This window comes from Homo sapiens, chromosome 16, assembly GCF_000001405.40.
Source record: "Homo sapiens chromosome 16, GRCh38.p14 Primary Assembly".
NCBI classification, from domain to species: domain Eukaryota; kingdom Metazoa; phylum Chordata; class Mammalia; order Primates; family Hominidae; genus Homo; species Homo sapiens.
In genome coordinates, this window is record NC_000016.10 from 50,453,060 (window position 1) to 50,468,621 (window position 15,562).

Below are 15,562 nucleotides of genomic sequence, written 5' to 3' on the forward strand. Positions count from 1 at the left end.
GGTTTGGCTTTTCGAAGTTGGGAGTGAATAGATCTTTACATTCTATGAGCCTCCTGAGGGACCTGCACATCTTGGTCCAGTTCTGATTCCTTAGGTTACTTCTACCTCGAACATTGCAGGATTCTTTGTCTCATCCCTATGCACCCCTAATTCAAGCCTTTCCTCAGGCCTAATGCAACAGAACTTAGTTTTTCTTTTATAGGCAGCTTCATGCTACTCCTTCAGACCTCACACAGCAATATGAACAGTTTTTATAGCACTTACCATGTGCCTAGGCATTGTGCTACAGGTAGGATCTCGTTTCACTCCTAGGACAATGCTAGGAGGTAAATTTTATTATCCTATTTTACAAATGAAGAGGCTGGGGCTCAGAGAAGTCAAAGAACTAGTCCAGGGTAACACAGCAGGTAAGTCAGATACAGAGGCCAAGGCCTTACCCACTTATGATGCTATTTTGTCCCAAGTCTATCTCCTTTTTCCCAGTTAGACTGAAGCTTCTCGGGGCAGGGTCCTAGTTCCACTGGCCCCCATGAGGCAGTGCCCAGGCATGGCCAGCGGGGCTCGGCAGACACTGGTAATCCATGGGCTTAGCCATACTAGGCCTTCCCACCCTCCTCCTGGCAGAGTCCTTGTCAGCGTGTGGGTTTGGGCGAGTCTCGTGGGAGGATCCCCACCTGGGGTCATGGAGGCTCAGACATCTTGGGTTTAGAGGACTCCCCGCCAGGGTCTTCTGGCATTTTCATTGTCAAGGCCTCACTGATGATTGCTTCTTTCTCTTCTTCTTTTGTTTTTTTGAGATGGAGTCTTGGTCTTTTGCCCAGGCTGGGTGCAATGGCGCAATCTCGGCTTACTGCAACCTCCGCTTTCCGCGTTCAAACTATTCTCCTGCCACAGCCTCCTGAGTAGTTGGGATTACAGTCGCGTGCCACCACACCCAGCTAATTTTTGTATTTTTAGTAGAGATGGGGTTTCACCATGTTGGTCAGGCTGGTCCCAAACTCCTGGCCTCAGGTGATTCACCCACCCTCAGCCTTCCAAAGTGCTGGGATTTCAGGCGTGAGCCACTGCACTCGGCCCCAGAATGGCCCACATGGCCTTATCTGTGGTTTCCAGCAGCACCTGGTCAAACCTGAAGACTGGCGTGTGAGCCTCTGCTTTATGATGGAGGTCCCAGTTAGGAGCCCAGTTAGTCAGTCCCCACCTTACAGCTGAGAAACTGTTAAGACTTTATGTCAGGACGAGTGACCTCCCATGCCACAGAAGACGTTATCGACAGAACCGGGAAATGTTATTTGCATGCATATACCTGAAAAGCGTTCCTATCCATACTACTCAACTAACCTACCAAATGTGAAAAAGATGGCAAACAACTCCATGGGAAAGTAAGTGGGCAAAAGTGGGAAGAGGTGGATCCCAGGAGAGGCAGTGTGTAGGGCTGATGAAGGAGGATGGGTACCCGTGGGCACGCCAGGGCTGCTGCCTGGCTGGGTGTCAGCCTGCAGCCAAGGCATGAGGAGATGCTCAATCCACTGGTGATCAGGGCAAGGCATGCCCCAAACACGCTGCGGCACAGCTCCTGTTGAAGGAGGCCCGAATCGCTTAGAGTGTGCCGTAACTTCTGTCTTTTCTTTTTTTTTTTTTCTTTTTCTTTTTTTGAGATGGAGTCTAGCTCTGTCACCCAGGTTGGAATGCAGTGGTGTGATCTTGGCTCACTGCACCCTCCACCTCCCAGGTTCAAGCGATTCTCCTGCCTCAGTCTCCTGAGTACTTGGAACTACAGGCGCATGCCACCATGCCCGGCTAATTTTTTGTATTTTTAGTAGACACAGGGTTTCACTGTGTTAGCCAGGATGGTCTCCATCTCTTGACCTTGTGATCTGCCTGCCTTGGCCTCCCAAAGTGCTGGGATTACAGGCGTGAGCCACTGCGACTGGCCAGGTTCTCTCTTTACAAGGAGCCAGAAGACAGCCTGAGAATGGGGCCATTTCAGCATCCAAAGGTGGACAAGGCTGGGGATCGGTCTTAGCGCTGAGCAGAGGGGGAAAAGACCCCTCCCTCCACCTTGTGGGGATCTTGGGGAGCATGACGAAGCTGGCCCCTACACAGAAAATTTTCTTTGCTCTCTACTTTAGGAAACACTGGCTGCAGTTATTGAGAACAGGAACCCTGTCCCTTTCCCCTTGGGTGTAACAAGTGTGACTGGCACTCAGCTCTGAAGGCTGACCCTTTGGCCCCCTGCTACAACCTCTGTGGCTCTTTCTGGAGGCTTTGTTTGGCTGCTGGGACTTGCATAGCAAAAGTATGGAAGAGCCAACATCCCTGGGATCAGACTTCAACCAATGCCTGACAGCATCCCTACCCCTTGGTGGGACAACTCTCTTACAGTCCCCAGTGAGCCTCAGCCCCAGGGGCCCGCAGCGGTGACCTGCTCGTCCATGCACCCCGACTGGCTCCCTTCCCTCCCCCCATCTCTTGCCTCTTGCCAGTGCTTCCTAGAACCACCTCCCAGATAAACTCCCAGTTTTCAAATCCTTGTCTCAGGATGTGGTTCTGGGGAGCCTGGCCTCAGGCAATAGAGGTAGCAGAACTAAAACAATTATGGGCTGGGCAGTCTGATCTTCACGAGCCACTGCACAGTCTGAGGTGAGAATACTCCATTATACTGCCCTGCCCTGGGGCACCAGCAAATCTGGCCAACTTCTCCCTGGCGCAGGGCCTTCTATTTATTTTTTCAATTTGATTTTCTTGTATTTTTCACACCATAAAACGTAGAACTGTGGCTTGGGTTTCACAGTTTACTAGCTGATTCCATGTGCTTTTGACAGTTCTGATGTGTTTTTGACTGTCGCTATATATATATGTGTGTGTGTGTGTGTGTGTGTGTGTGTGTGTGTGTGTTCCCTTGAAGCTACACTTCCTCATGCTCCCCATTCCCCAGCCCAAGAAGCCTCTGTGAGAGCCAGGGGAGTGGCTCCGAGGAGAGGAGATGAGAAGGCAGAGGAGCTGGGAAGGTCCCCAGGTCTCCTCTCACAAAAACTGGGCTCACCTCCTCCAACCAGAATCTGCAGCCACATCGCGCTACTGTGACAAGGGGATGAGTTTGCTAAGTTGTCACTTGGTGGATGGATACCTGCCAGCAAATTCGACTGTGATTATGACGGAGTCATGTTGCAGCTGTGTAAATTTGGTTTCTGGTGGTTTGTCTGGAAGATGGTCCCAGGAAACGCCAGCAAAGGCATAGGTTGGTGAGATGGGGAAAGGAAGGCAGGCAATACCAGGCATGTTGTCCATCCAGGTGCCCATGTGGACAGCTGGAATGCAATCTTGCTGTGGAATCTGGGAAGCAGTGTGGAAGACATACTTCTGAGTTCTCCCACCTCACCAAGCAGGAGGGATCTGGGGTATTTAGACACAAGTTTGAGGGCTGCTCCCAGGGAGTGTTAATTTTCTAGCAGCTTGGGGCTCTGGCCATCAGAGAAGCCCTCGGGTAGAGAGATGTGGATGTTGGAGGGAGAAAGCCCAGACATCTGGGGAGGATGCCACCAGCACCTGCTCCACTCCTTTCTGGAAGCTCTCCACAGCTCATGCAGTCCTCAGTCTTGACCTTCCAGGCCCTTCACCACTGGTTATCCACCCACGTGCCAGCCTCGCCTCTCACCCCACAAACCATCTTCAGTGTGGGCTCCTCAGGCATCCCTTTCCCTTTCTGGAATCCTAACCTCATCCTCTCCATCTTTCTGAGTCAGCCTTCACTGATCAGCCCTGGTTCCTCTTCCTTTCTCTAGCTCTCGCATCCAGAAGGCTCTGGGAGCTCAGATTCTCAGTAACATCAACTTTGTCCATAACTCGGGCTGGATGCCATTGGTGTTCTCACTCCCAGAACATGACTTGTTTCTTACCCAGCTCTGATTCTCAGTGCCACAACAGAGTCTCACACAGCAGGTGCTCAATAAATGCCTATCATTATTGCTGATGATATGCTGATGGTAGCAAAGATGGCGAGGCCTCCAAAGAGCAGGTGATGGGTCTTGCACCTTAGCTAACTGCTCTGTTTCTTTTTCTTTTTTAAATTTTCATTTGTTTGGATTTAAACAAATGATCTCACTCTGTTGCCTAAGCTGGAGAGCAGTGGCGCAATCACAGGTCACTGCAAGCCTTGACCTCCTGGGCTCAAGTGATCCTCCCAGCTCAGCCTCCCAGGTAGCTGGGACTACAGGTGTGCACTCCCACACCTGGCTAATTTTTGTATTTTTAGTAGAGATGGGGTATTGCCATGTTGCTCAGGCTGGTCTTGAACTCCTAGGCTCAAGCAAGCTGCCCATCTTGGCCTCCCAAAGTCGGTTTCTTCTTGACAAGTCACTCGGTTTCTCTGAATCTGCTTTCCTGTTTTCACTAAGTGGTTCTTTTTCCTCCTGGGCACCACAGCTAAACCACACTTCCCTGCCTGCCATGTGACTGGCAACAAAATTTGGGCCGAAGGGAATCCCCACCCCAGGCTTGTCCTGGAAAACCATCTCAGGCACGACCCTTTATTGTCCTTTTCTGTGAGACTAAAGACAGAAGGAGCATGGCCCTTGAGTCACCACTGAAGAAAAGCCGCCCCAGGGAGCCCCACCCACAGACACTACCCTTATAGGCTACTGGGTGAACAGGAAATAAACTTTTATTGTTTTAAGCCACTGAAGTTTTAGGATGATTAGAGCATTCTGTCTAATCTGATGAATGTGGAAGTCTTTAAAGTGAGAATATCAACATCGGTGGGCTGTCACCAAGATTAATGACAGAAACTGTTTAAAAGATGCTCAGTGAGTGTTCCTTCTCTTCCTCTCTAGAAAACTATAAGACACTCCAGTCTTTAAGAATGATGTCCACAGCACACTCAGCTTGCTCTGAAACGTAGTGTCTGGGAATGTCGTGCAGCTCTTTAATTCAAAGTAGATCCTTATGGACCATGCAGCAGACTTGGCTGTGAACCATCCATCTCTATAGATGGGGGTGCTGGAATCATCAGAGGCATTCGAACCAGAGCGACTCCATCTTGAATAGAGGCTGGGAGAAAATAAGGCTGAGACCTACTGGGCTGCATTCCCAGGAGGTGAGGCATTCTAAGTCACAGGATGAGATGGGAGGTCGGCACAAGGTACAGGTCACAAAGAACCTTTCTGATAAAACAGGAGGCAGTAAAGAAGCTGGCCAAAACCAAGATGGCCACAAAAGTGACTTCTGGTTTTCCTCACTGCTCACTATACCCTAATTACAATGCATTAGCATGCTAAAAGGCACCCCTACTAGCACCATGACAGTTTACAAATGTCACGGCAATGCCAGGAAGTTGCCCTATATGGTCTAAAAGGGGAAGGAACCCTTAGTTCAGGGAATTGCCCGCCCCTTTCCTGGGAAACTCATGAATAATCCACCCCTTGTTTAGTATGTAATCAAGAAATAACTACAAGTATAATCAGTGAACAGCCCAAGCCACTGCTCTGCCTACGGAGTAGCCATTCTTTGATTCCTTTACTTTCTTAATAAACTTGCATAGACTTTACTTATGGACTTGCCCTGAATTCTTTCTTGTGCGAGGTCCAAGAATCCTCTCTTGGGGTCTGGATCGGGATCCCTTTCCAGTAACAGAATGGTCACTGTGCCTATCTGGATGTTGGTTACTGCATCGGTGACATCTCTGCTCATCTGCCACCTGGCTTGCTCTTTCTCCTGCCTCCAATCTGCGCTCGAGAATGCCAAGGCATAATCATGACATTAACCACAAACAACTTCTTGAGCACTTACTAAGTGTCAGTCATTGCACGGAGCACTACATGCATTTCGTCACTGAATCTTCTCTAAGTGGGTCCTCTTGTTATCTCTATTCTAAAGAGAGACTTAGAGAGGTTTGCCAACTTACACAACACATAAGAGGCAAGGATGGTGGTTGGGCCAGCAGCTGCAGGTAGGCTGGATAATTTGTTTGATAAAAGATGCAGGTGTTCCTTTTTCAACTAGCCAGCCAGGTGCCGACCACATCAACCAGGCTCGACCCTGACATTTTTATCCCTTGGCTTGGGCTGGAGCCCGCTCTCATCTGCCTTTAGGACAAGAAAGCCCCCTCCAGCCCCCTTCAGCATTCATCCTGAAGTCTGGCCACCCTCCCTGTCGCCGTGCCGGTGGCTGGGAGCTTTCATTTGAGTGGAATTTAGCCGAGGACTTTTGTAGCACTTCATTTACATGTATGCCAACAAGCTGAGATGTGCGGCAACCTTGGAACACTTTCAAAGGCGGGAATAATTCCTCTGAAATAGGTCTTCCGAAAGCTTTATCTTGTCCTTTCTCTTTTTGTTAATCTTGGAGCCCCTTAGCATGTCAAAGCAATTTTTCTAATGTCACTTCTCCTAGACATTAGCATGAAAGGGCTTTAAGAGATGATTTGAGAAAGAATAAATGTTGAATGAGCATTTATTATAGAGTCGTTTATGCTACATTTGCATTTTGACTCTATTTCTGCCATGCAGGATGGAGAAGCAGGCTGATTTGAAAGTCAATGGTGTCTAAACAGGCGACGCTACAACACTGTTTACACTCAGCTGTTTCCTCCACGAATTCATTTACAAAAAAAGATTTCATTAGGCTGATTTGTTTGCGGGAATGAGATTAAGCCAAATTTGCGTGCCTTAACACAGAGATGGAATTGACCCAGTCGTCAGGAGGCCGTGGGGCGAAGGCAGGGGAGTCTCATTCTGAGTCCCAATTTCTTTCTGAGCACCTCTAAGGAAATTAATTAATGGTGTCTGCCTCCTTCAGGAAGCTGGCCTGCCGCGTGTGCCATAATGTGCAGTGGTCAAGAGCCCAGCCTGTGAGCAGGGGCTGCTTGGGTTTGGCTCTAGCCTCGGCCACTTCTCTTTGTCTTGCAGTGTTAAATGGTGAATAGATAGAATGTGTCTAGTACAATGCCTGGCACGCAGTAGTCACTTTTAGCTGTTAGTCATATTTTCATTGCTTTTTGGCCTGTGAGACTTAGCCAGGGTTCCAGAGAGATGACCCGGAAGCCCTTGCTTTGGAGCAAGTATAGACTTTTCCATCTTTTCTCCTGGAGCAAGCTCATTCTATGGGTCCCAGACACAGGCAGGTGGATGTAAGTGGGTTCTGGAGCTATGGGTGTCTTAGGGATTGCTTCGGGCTCTGTGTGTATGAAAGAAACGGAGAGAGATCAGCTTCAAAAGCCAGAAGCCTGCGTCCCCAGCCCATGCTCCTCCCAGTCCTGGGTAAACCCACCACTCCATTTCCCTGGAAGTTTCTCTCTGTCTGTCTCCCCATCAGCCGAAAGCTCCTTGAGGGCAGGGATTGGCTCACATGCGTCTTCATTAGCACCTGGCACTGCATGGATGCTCAGGACATCTGTTTTTCATCAAACTTTGGGGCAGTTTTCAAACTTGCTCTTTTAAAGCCAGCACACACATGGGTTCCAGTGCACCCTGAAGCCAGGGCCCAATTTGTGCCAGTTCAGGGGGACTGCACTGGTTGCAGTTGAGGTGGGAGCCTGTTCCCTTGGCAGGCCCTTCCCCCAAGCCTTTTTGGGGCACAGAAACAATTCTCCATAAAACTAGAGCACCCCCTTCATTTCACAGGTGAAGGAAGCTGAGCTTCAGAGAGGGGTTTCCCTTGCCCCTTGGTCACACAGCAAGCCAGTCGGCTGAGCTGGGCCAAGCGTTGGGGCCTACTGAGGCTGGGCCCAGTAGCCCTGGCCACCCAGCCCAGTCCTCTCGAGCCTGTCCCATCTCCGGGCTGTGGGGCTCTGCTTCTCTTGGTCTTGCTGGGTTCTTTCCGGAACTGTCCTTGAAGCCATCCCCAGGTCAGGTGTGCTCCTGGCTCCAGCTACTCAGCTGCCCCGCCTCCCACCCCTTGCTCCTGGTCTCCAGGTCCTGCCCTCTGCCCGCAGCTCTGCCAATTGCTCTCCTGGCCCCAGGGACTGATACTCAGGCCTCAAACAAATCTCTGCCTCCCCTGTCCTGTTTTCCTGATTTTTTTTCAAGCAACAGCAGCTGTACCATTTCTCGAGCTTTCCCTGTGTGCTGGGTGCTGCCCGAGGCTCTTTTCCCGCAGGGCAGACGCCACTGCCCATTCTGTGGATGGCTGCCCGAGGTCAGGTGGCTCAGGCAGCAAAGCTGGAATTTGAACCCAAGTTCAGGCTGACTCTAGGGAGCCCGCTGCTGACATCGGGCCTGGCTGCTTCCACACATGCATCTCCTGCCTTCTGACGATAGGGTCTTCCCTGCCTGCTCCCCTCTCCTGGAGCTTCTGACCTCAGGGCCAGAGATGCTGCTCAGTCTCTCAATTCAGACTCACCGACTTGATTGGACGAGGTGATCATTTCCCCCTCCCATTCCTATTCCCAAGGGCCTGATCCTGAGGCACTGCACACAGTGTGCCTGTGAGGACAACTCAGGGCCAAAGGACAGGTGCCGTTTAATGTCCCACTGAATCAGGCAGAGCAGGATTCAAGTACCAGCTCTGTTACTAATTAGCTGTGGGACTCTGTGCAAGTTACTTAACCTCTCTGAGCCTCGCTCTCCTTCTCCCTCAAAGGAGATAATAATAGTATCTCTCCTCCAGGATTTTTGGGTCGAGTTTGATACTGTGTCAAGTGCCAGGCTTGTGGTACCTAAGTCCTGAAATGATAGCTATTATGACTCCTGTTGCTGTCACATTCCTGAAGACTGGGGCTTTGTTTTCCTTGGGGCATCTGCCATCTCCTCTGCCATGTGAATACCTCACACCTCAGGAGATCAGGTACTGAGATGCACTCCATTAGGCCTGGAGTTGCTGCCTTGACCTCCGTTTTCTCTCCATAGAGTGTGCCTCATAGTCTCAGGAGGGCAGGGTGCTCAGAGTTGGTTCAAAGGAACAGCATATAAATCCCATCCTTGGCCAGGCACGGTGGCTCATGCCTGTAATCCCAGCACTTTGGGAGGTTGAGACAGGCAGATCGCTTGAGGTCAGGAGTTCAAGACTAGCCGGGCCAATATAGCAAAACCCCATCTCTACTAAAAATACAAAAATTAGCCAGGCGTGGCAGCTCAAGTCTCTAATCTCAGCTACTCAGGAAGCTGAGGCATGAGAATCACTTGAACCTGGGAGGTGGAGGTTGCAGTGAGTTGAGATCATGCCACTGCACTCCAGCATGGGCTACAGAGCAAGACTCTGTCTCAAAACGAAACAAACAAACAAAATCCCAGCCTTGTTGACTCTCTCTGTAGTTTGATGTGTTTTCTTTTTTCTTTTTGAGACAGGGTCTCACTCTGTCACCCATGCTGGAGTGCAGTGGTGCAATCTTGGCTCACTGTAGCCTCCACCTCCCAGGCTCATGTGATCCTCCCAGCTCAGCTTCCCAAGTAGCTGGGACTACAGGTGTGCACCCCCATGCCTGGCTAATTTTTGTATTTTTAGTAGGGATGGGGTTTTGCCATGTTGCCCAGGCTGGTCTTGAACTCCTGAGCTCAAATGATCCACCCGCTTCGGCCTCCCAAAGTGCTGGGATTACAGCATGAGCCACCTTGCCTGGCCTGGTATATTTTCCCTATGGTGACTGGGTGTTCTGTGAGCAGCTGAAGCCTTCAGGTCTCCCCTGGCTCAGGGGCTTTCTCTGGGCACCAGGAAATAAAAGAACACTGGACTGGGTGTCAAGACACCTGGATTCAATCCTAGCTGTGTCCCAGCCTCTCTGTAAGCCCTAGGGCAAGTTGCTCTGCATCTGTGGGCCTCAGTTTCCTCTTCTATAAAATCGAAGTTGAATAATCTATCTCTAAATTCCCACTTAGCCCAGCAGGTCTCAGATTCCCTGGTGCCAGGACTGAAATTCACCCCTCCCTGTTACCCGAGTAGCTAAAAATGATTCATCTGCTTCCCAGAGGGGCCAACAGCCCTACCTAGGCTCCCATCCCACATGAGAGCCCCAGCAGTCCTGCAGCAGACCTGCAGCCTGGGGCGAATCCCACTTGTTCTGCAGAGAAAGTGAGAGGGAAAGGTTGCTGATCAGATGCCGCTTTAAAATGTAATCATAAGTTTTGGCTCAGGGAGAGAGAGAGAGAGAGAATGAGAGAGAGAGAGAAACAACAGAAGAGAGAGGGGAAAAAAAACCACTTCAAGGCCAGCTCCCCTCCCTGGCTGGAAACCTGTGCCTGTGAGGATGAAGGGACCAGAGCAGAGACAGAGGCTGGCCTTCTGAAGGAGCGTGTGGTGCCCACTTTGAACGTGTGGCCTTTGTGCCTGCCTATTCAGGGCGGCCTCAGGACAATGGGGGGCAGGCATACAGGGGAGGACAATGACAGGGACATCGCTGCCGCTTTGCATTCCCTTTGAAGTGGCTCTGCCCTGGGCCCCCGCTGGCTCCAAAAAGAATGCTTTTGTTGCCCGCTCCAAAGATGCTGTAAGATGCTGCGGAAAAAGTAACTGGAGGGGATCTGCCCGATTAAAAAAAAATTAAAGATAAGAAACAAATCAAGCTGGCTGCGTGGGGACCAGTGGTAGCTTTGAACCCTGAGAAGAGAAGGGATGCAGTGATCCAACCCTTTCTCTCCCCAGGGGAAGGGACTGGCTTGGGCCAGGGCGGGGGCCACTCTTAATGGGAGCAGAGGCCTGAGGAATGGGAGTCGGGGGTGGAGTGAGGATTCCTAGCCCATTGGGTTGTCCTAGAAGGGCCTGCAAAGCTGGGGCTGGGACTCTGAAAGCCAAAGTCCATTCCAGTCCTGGGGTTTGGGCAGAAAAATGCTGGAGGCAAAATCAAAGTCATAGGTACTATTTACCAAGTTTGCTGTGTGCCAGGCACAGGGCTAATGTCTTGCTTTATTGCCTGTGTGATGACCTTAAAAGTGCCTCACTATTAACCATGTGATGAATATGTGTACACAAGATTACATCCTAGAGATGGACGTTAGCATCTGAACTACTGAAATCAGGAATCCAAATTGTTGGGTTCAGGGCTGAGGGAGCATATTGAACAAGTTGGGCACTAAAAAGTTCCAAGGAGTGCCATTTATACTGTGGTTTTTGTTGTGGTACCTCCTGGAGTTGTGCAGTGTACAACCTGTGCATCTGTACATGGTGCCCCTGCCAGGGATGGTAAAGTAATAAATGAAGGGTTCTCATCAGGAGTCTACACTCTCCAACATTGTTAACAAAGGCAACACCAGGGTTTGTTAATTAGCATGAGGATTGTTAGAAATAGTTTTTTTTTTTTTCACTGGGGACATGAGTGGTATTCAAGATAGGTGTTTGGGTGGTAAGATTGTACAGGCCCCACTGCCTGTGAAAAGTGAGGTGTAGGGTCCTGGGAAGCCCAGCAGTCTCACAGCAGCTCAGCATGGTGTCTGGCTCACTGTAAGTACTCAGTGATGGTCATAACTATCCCCATCCTACTGCGGAGGAGGCTAAGGCTCAGAGAGGTGAAATATTGATCCCGGACACACACAGCTGGTACATGGTGGGACCAGGTTTTTTGATACCCTTGGGCTCTCAAGCCCTGGTCTGTCCTGACTTCGAGAGGGAGCCTTTTTCAGCTGGGCAGTCACTTGGTCAAATTATGACTTTGTGAACCCTCCTCGCAGGCCACATGTGCCAAGGCCACCTGGTGGAGGCACCAGTACCCTGACAATGGGCCCTGGGACATTTTGGACCTATCTGTATACCTAGCAGGACATTTTGGACCTATCCGGAGCGTCTGTGAACCTGTTGGTGGCCGCCACACCTGCGATTGCCTCCAGGGGGCTATTTTCCCGGAAAGTGTTCCAAGGGGTACGGCCAAAGGAGATCTTGGATGGGCTCCACTGGTGGACCTTGGTCCTCAGCCCAGATTCCCTGGGACTCTTTTTTCCATTTCTGAGCACCCCCACCCCGCTTCTGTGTGCTGTCAAGGGCTAGCACCAGCAGCTGGTTTTTGGAGGACTCCCCAGGGTATTGCAACTCGCTTTGTCCACACCGCAGTGGGGTTCACCTTCCTCCACTGGTGCAGGAGTATGAAAGCCCACTCCCTTGCCTCAGGTTGGGACAACTTGAGGTGTAACTGTTCCCTCCTGAGAGTCCCTGCAGGATCAGGTTGAAGCTGCCTCTTGCAGGACTTTGCCTGAGCTCACACCCTCGCGTCCCAGCCTGTTTCTCCCATTGTCTTGCCTGTCTCCCCTGGGCGCACTCCCTGAGCACATCACATGCCCTTGAATCCTCACCCCAGTGCTTCTTCCTGGGGGTTTCAACTGGTCAGTTGCACCCACAGAAAGCCCACGTGGTAGAGAAAGCTCGACATGAAATCAAGCTCCATCTTGCATGGGGACCAAGCATGGTTTTCCCTTGGGGAGTGAGAATGCAGGGTGTGTTTGGAAAAAGTGGTGGGAAGTCATGTGCTCTGCCTCGAGGGATGCCAGGAGGACCGGCTGCCACACCTGGGATGCCTTCCAGGATTCCGTCACAGGTCTGCTGAGGAGACCCCTCCATGTCCCCCAGCTAGTAAGGGACTAAGTCAGGACTCAAACCCAGGTCTTTTTTTCACAAGTCTACGTACAGCTTAAACACGTATCTCTCCCAACCCACCCAACACCCACAACTCATTTACTGTCTGCAGGCCTTATGCTTGGGACTTTTCCAAGCACCTCATTCTTCAGGCTCCTTCCCGCTGCCCCACAGGTGACCACAAGCCAGGAGAGACATGGAACCCGCAAGAAGGACAGAGATTGTGAGCTGGCCGGAAGCAGAGGACAGAGAGGAAGGGAGAGAGGACCTGAGGGCACAAGAAGGGTCATGACCCAGGGGTCCAGTGCTCTTCCTGCCTGTCTGCCAGTATCTCCAGGAATTGAGCCCCTTTCTGATTCACTCCAACCCAGGCTACTCCAGCCTGATGGTCTCCTGGACAGATGCTCTAGCTTCATTCCCCGAGGTTACCCTCTTTAGAGCTCCTGGGGCTTCCAAAAAGACTTCAGTGGCTCTCAAAGCTGAAGCCTGATGATACTTAGCTCTTGGGCATGAGACAGCCAGTAGGTTGGTATGGCAGGTGACTTGCACTCCCACCATCCTGCCTGTGTGTAAAACCCCTGCCCCTAGGCACCTCCTTGCACCTCTAGGGGACATAGCCCAGTACCTAAGCAGCCTACCTAGCCCCAGCTCCCCGCTGGGCAGAGCAAGGGCCTGAGAGGGACCCTTGGCTGCTGGATCCAGGGTGTTCAATGTACCAGGCATTGCAGGGGGAGAAAAGAGAGAGACATGGGGCCAGCTCCCTGCCCTTTGGAGCCTCGGGCCCAGGACACAGGCTCAGCAAGCCCCAAGCATGCAGGAGCAGCTGGATGCCAGCAGCCAGTGGGCTGACTAAGACTGGCAGGATCTCAGCAGAGGGAGAGGAAGCCTAGTTTCAGATCAGGAGGGCTTCCTGGAGGAGAGAGCATGAACTCAGCTTTCATTCCTGGAGCCAGAGGGCTGTGGAAACAATCAAGCAACCATGGCTACCTTCTACCAGGTATTTTGCCTGGGCCTGGCTTTGTGTCTAACCCACCTTGTTTTCCACAACCCTGCAAGGCCTTTTCAAATCCCACAGGAGAAAATAGAGCCACAGAAAGGTTATAAGAACCACACAGTTGCCCACTGACAGGGTCTAGATTGGGGCTGCCAGTTTGTGGGGGGCACACAGGCCCTGAAAAGGAATAAATCCCTCTCATTCAAGGCTGTGTATCCTTTAGTGGGAGAGAAGCACCCAGTGGGTGCGGAATGGGGACTGGAAAAGGTAGAGAAGGATTCACAAAGGAGGAAGTTTTTAACCTGGGCTCTTCAAGGATGAGTAGGAAGTTTGTCCAGGGCAGAGGAGGGCATTCCAGGAAGGAAGAACAAGTGCTGGATCTTGGAGTAGGCAAGGAGGAGCTGGTGAATGGGTTGGGTGTGACTGCGAGTGGGGAGGGAGGAAGATGAACCTGGGGGGCAGTAACTGCATGCAGTCAACACTAAAAAATTACTTATTTAAAATCAAGATGTTGCTGTTTTTTTCTTTTCTTTTTTTTTAAAATGGTTTATTGGCCTGGAACAGTGGCTCATACCTGTAATCCCAGCACTTTGGGAGGCTGAGGCAGGAGGTTCACTTTAAGTCAGGAGTCTGAGACCAGGCTGGGCAACATGGCAAAACCCTGTCTCTACAGAAAATAAAAAAGCTGGGCGTGGTGGCACACCTGTAGGCCCAGCTACTCAGGAGGCTGAGGTAGGAGGAGGATCACTCGAGCCCAGCAGTTGGAGATGGCAGTGAGCGGATATCGCATCACTGCACTCCAACCTAGGTGGCACAACAAGACCCCATCTCTATATTTTTTAAAGGTTTATTGAATGAAGGAAGGAATGACTGAATTGTGCCTCCCAGGGTCTGTTAGTACAAAACAGGAGTTCAACAAACGTTTGTTTAATGAATGAACAAAATGGATTTCCCTTGCCTAGCACATACCAGGCACTCAATAAAGATTTGCTGCACTAACCAATGCATTAATGAAGTAGTGATGCACCGCACTAACCAGTGAATGGATGAAGCAGTGATGCACCACATTAATTAGTGCCTCCGTGAAGCAGTGATGCACCACACTAACCCATGCATCCATGAAGCAGTGATACACAGCACTAACTAGTGCATCCGTGAAGCAGTGATGTATCATACTAACTAGTGCATCCGTGAAGCAGTGATACACCGCACTGACTAGTGCATTGGTGAAGTATTGATACACCACACTAACTAGTGTATCCATTAAGCAGTGATGCACCGCGCTAACTAGTGCATCCGTGAAGCAGTGATGTACTCCACTAACCGTGCACTGATGAAGCAGTGATGGCGTGGAATTAGCTGGGGCAGAGGACGCCTGTGGCCTTACAACTCGGATGGCGGTGACTGGCCGTTCCCCCACCGCCGCCCCTACCCCCAGCGGCGCGAGCTCTAACGCAGAGCAGATGGCGGGGGCGGGAGCCCGGGCGGGCGGGGCTCTGCGCCTAGGCGGCTGCAGCCGGGCCTGATTAGGTCCCCCTCCCGCTGGCGGCCGCTGGCGCTTTGAAGTGAGCCGCTGCCCGGCGGCTCCGGCCGCCTGGCCGTCCCTGCCGCCAGGCCGTCGGACCCAGGCTGGCGGCGGGGCTGGCGGCGCGTGTTGATCCAGGTGCGGGCTGGGGGCTGGGCGCGGGATCCTCTTTCCTGCAGGCCCATCTGGGACTTCAAAGCGCAGCGCGGGGCTCAAAGGCGGCCCGGGTGGGGGTGGGGCGGGGAGGGCGCTCTGGCTTCCTCCCAGGCAGCCGGCCCGGGGCCAGCGGGGGGCCTTCCACGTTAACCCCACCCCCATCCCGTGGAGCGCTTTATGGAGCGCCTACCGGGTGCCAGGCGCCGTGCGATCTGACCTCTCACACAGCTACAGAGGCAGGCGGTGCTGTGATCCCCATACTGCAGGTGAGGATCCCGGCTCAGAAAGGCCAGGGACTCGCCCGAGGCCTCAGGGCCTCTTGACACCCGGGGCCTCTCTGCAGCCCCGCCTTTCGCTTCGTTGTGGCTCTGTCTCTTGACGCTGGCATCTCCCTCTGG

At 51.8% G+C, this 15,562-nt stretch overlaps 4 annotated features.

Annotated features, from left to right (window-relative positions):
• Positions 1,473–1,973: an enhancer, noted in NCBI's record as "H3K4me1 hESC enhancer chr16:50488443-50488943 (GRCh37/hg19 assembly coordinates)". NCBI's record gives its function as "activates a minimal SCP1, AML or CMV promoter by ChIP-STARR-seq in naive H9 embryonic stem cells {active_cell/tissue: H9 hESC(naive)}" and the evidence as "EXISTENCE:reporter gene assay evidence [ECO:0000049][PMID:30033119]".
• Positions 14,884–15,113: a silencer, noted in NCBI's record as "silent region_7483". NCBI's record gives its function as "represses an Ori minimal core promoter by ATAC-STARR-seq in GM12878 lymphoblastoid cells {active_cell/tissue: GM12878}" and the evidence as "EXISTENCE:reporter gene assay evidence [ECO:0000049][PMID:35858748]".
• Positions 15,194–15,273: a silencer, noted in NCBI's record as "silent region_7484". NCBI's record gives its function as "represses an Ori minimal core promoter by ATAC-STARR-seq in GM12878 lymphoblastoid cells {active_cell/tissue: GM12878}" and the evidence as "EXISTENCE:reporter gene assay evidence [ECO:0000049][PMID:35858748]".
• Positions 15,484–15,543: a silencer, noted in NCBI's record as "silent region_7485". NCBI's record gives its function as "represses an Ori minimal core promoter by ATAC-STARR-seq in GM12878 lymphoblastoid cells {active_cell/tissue: GM12878}" and the evidence as "EXISTENCE:reporter gene assay evidence [ECO:0000049][PMID:35858748]".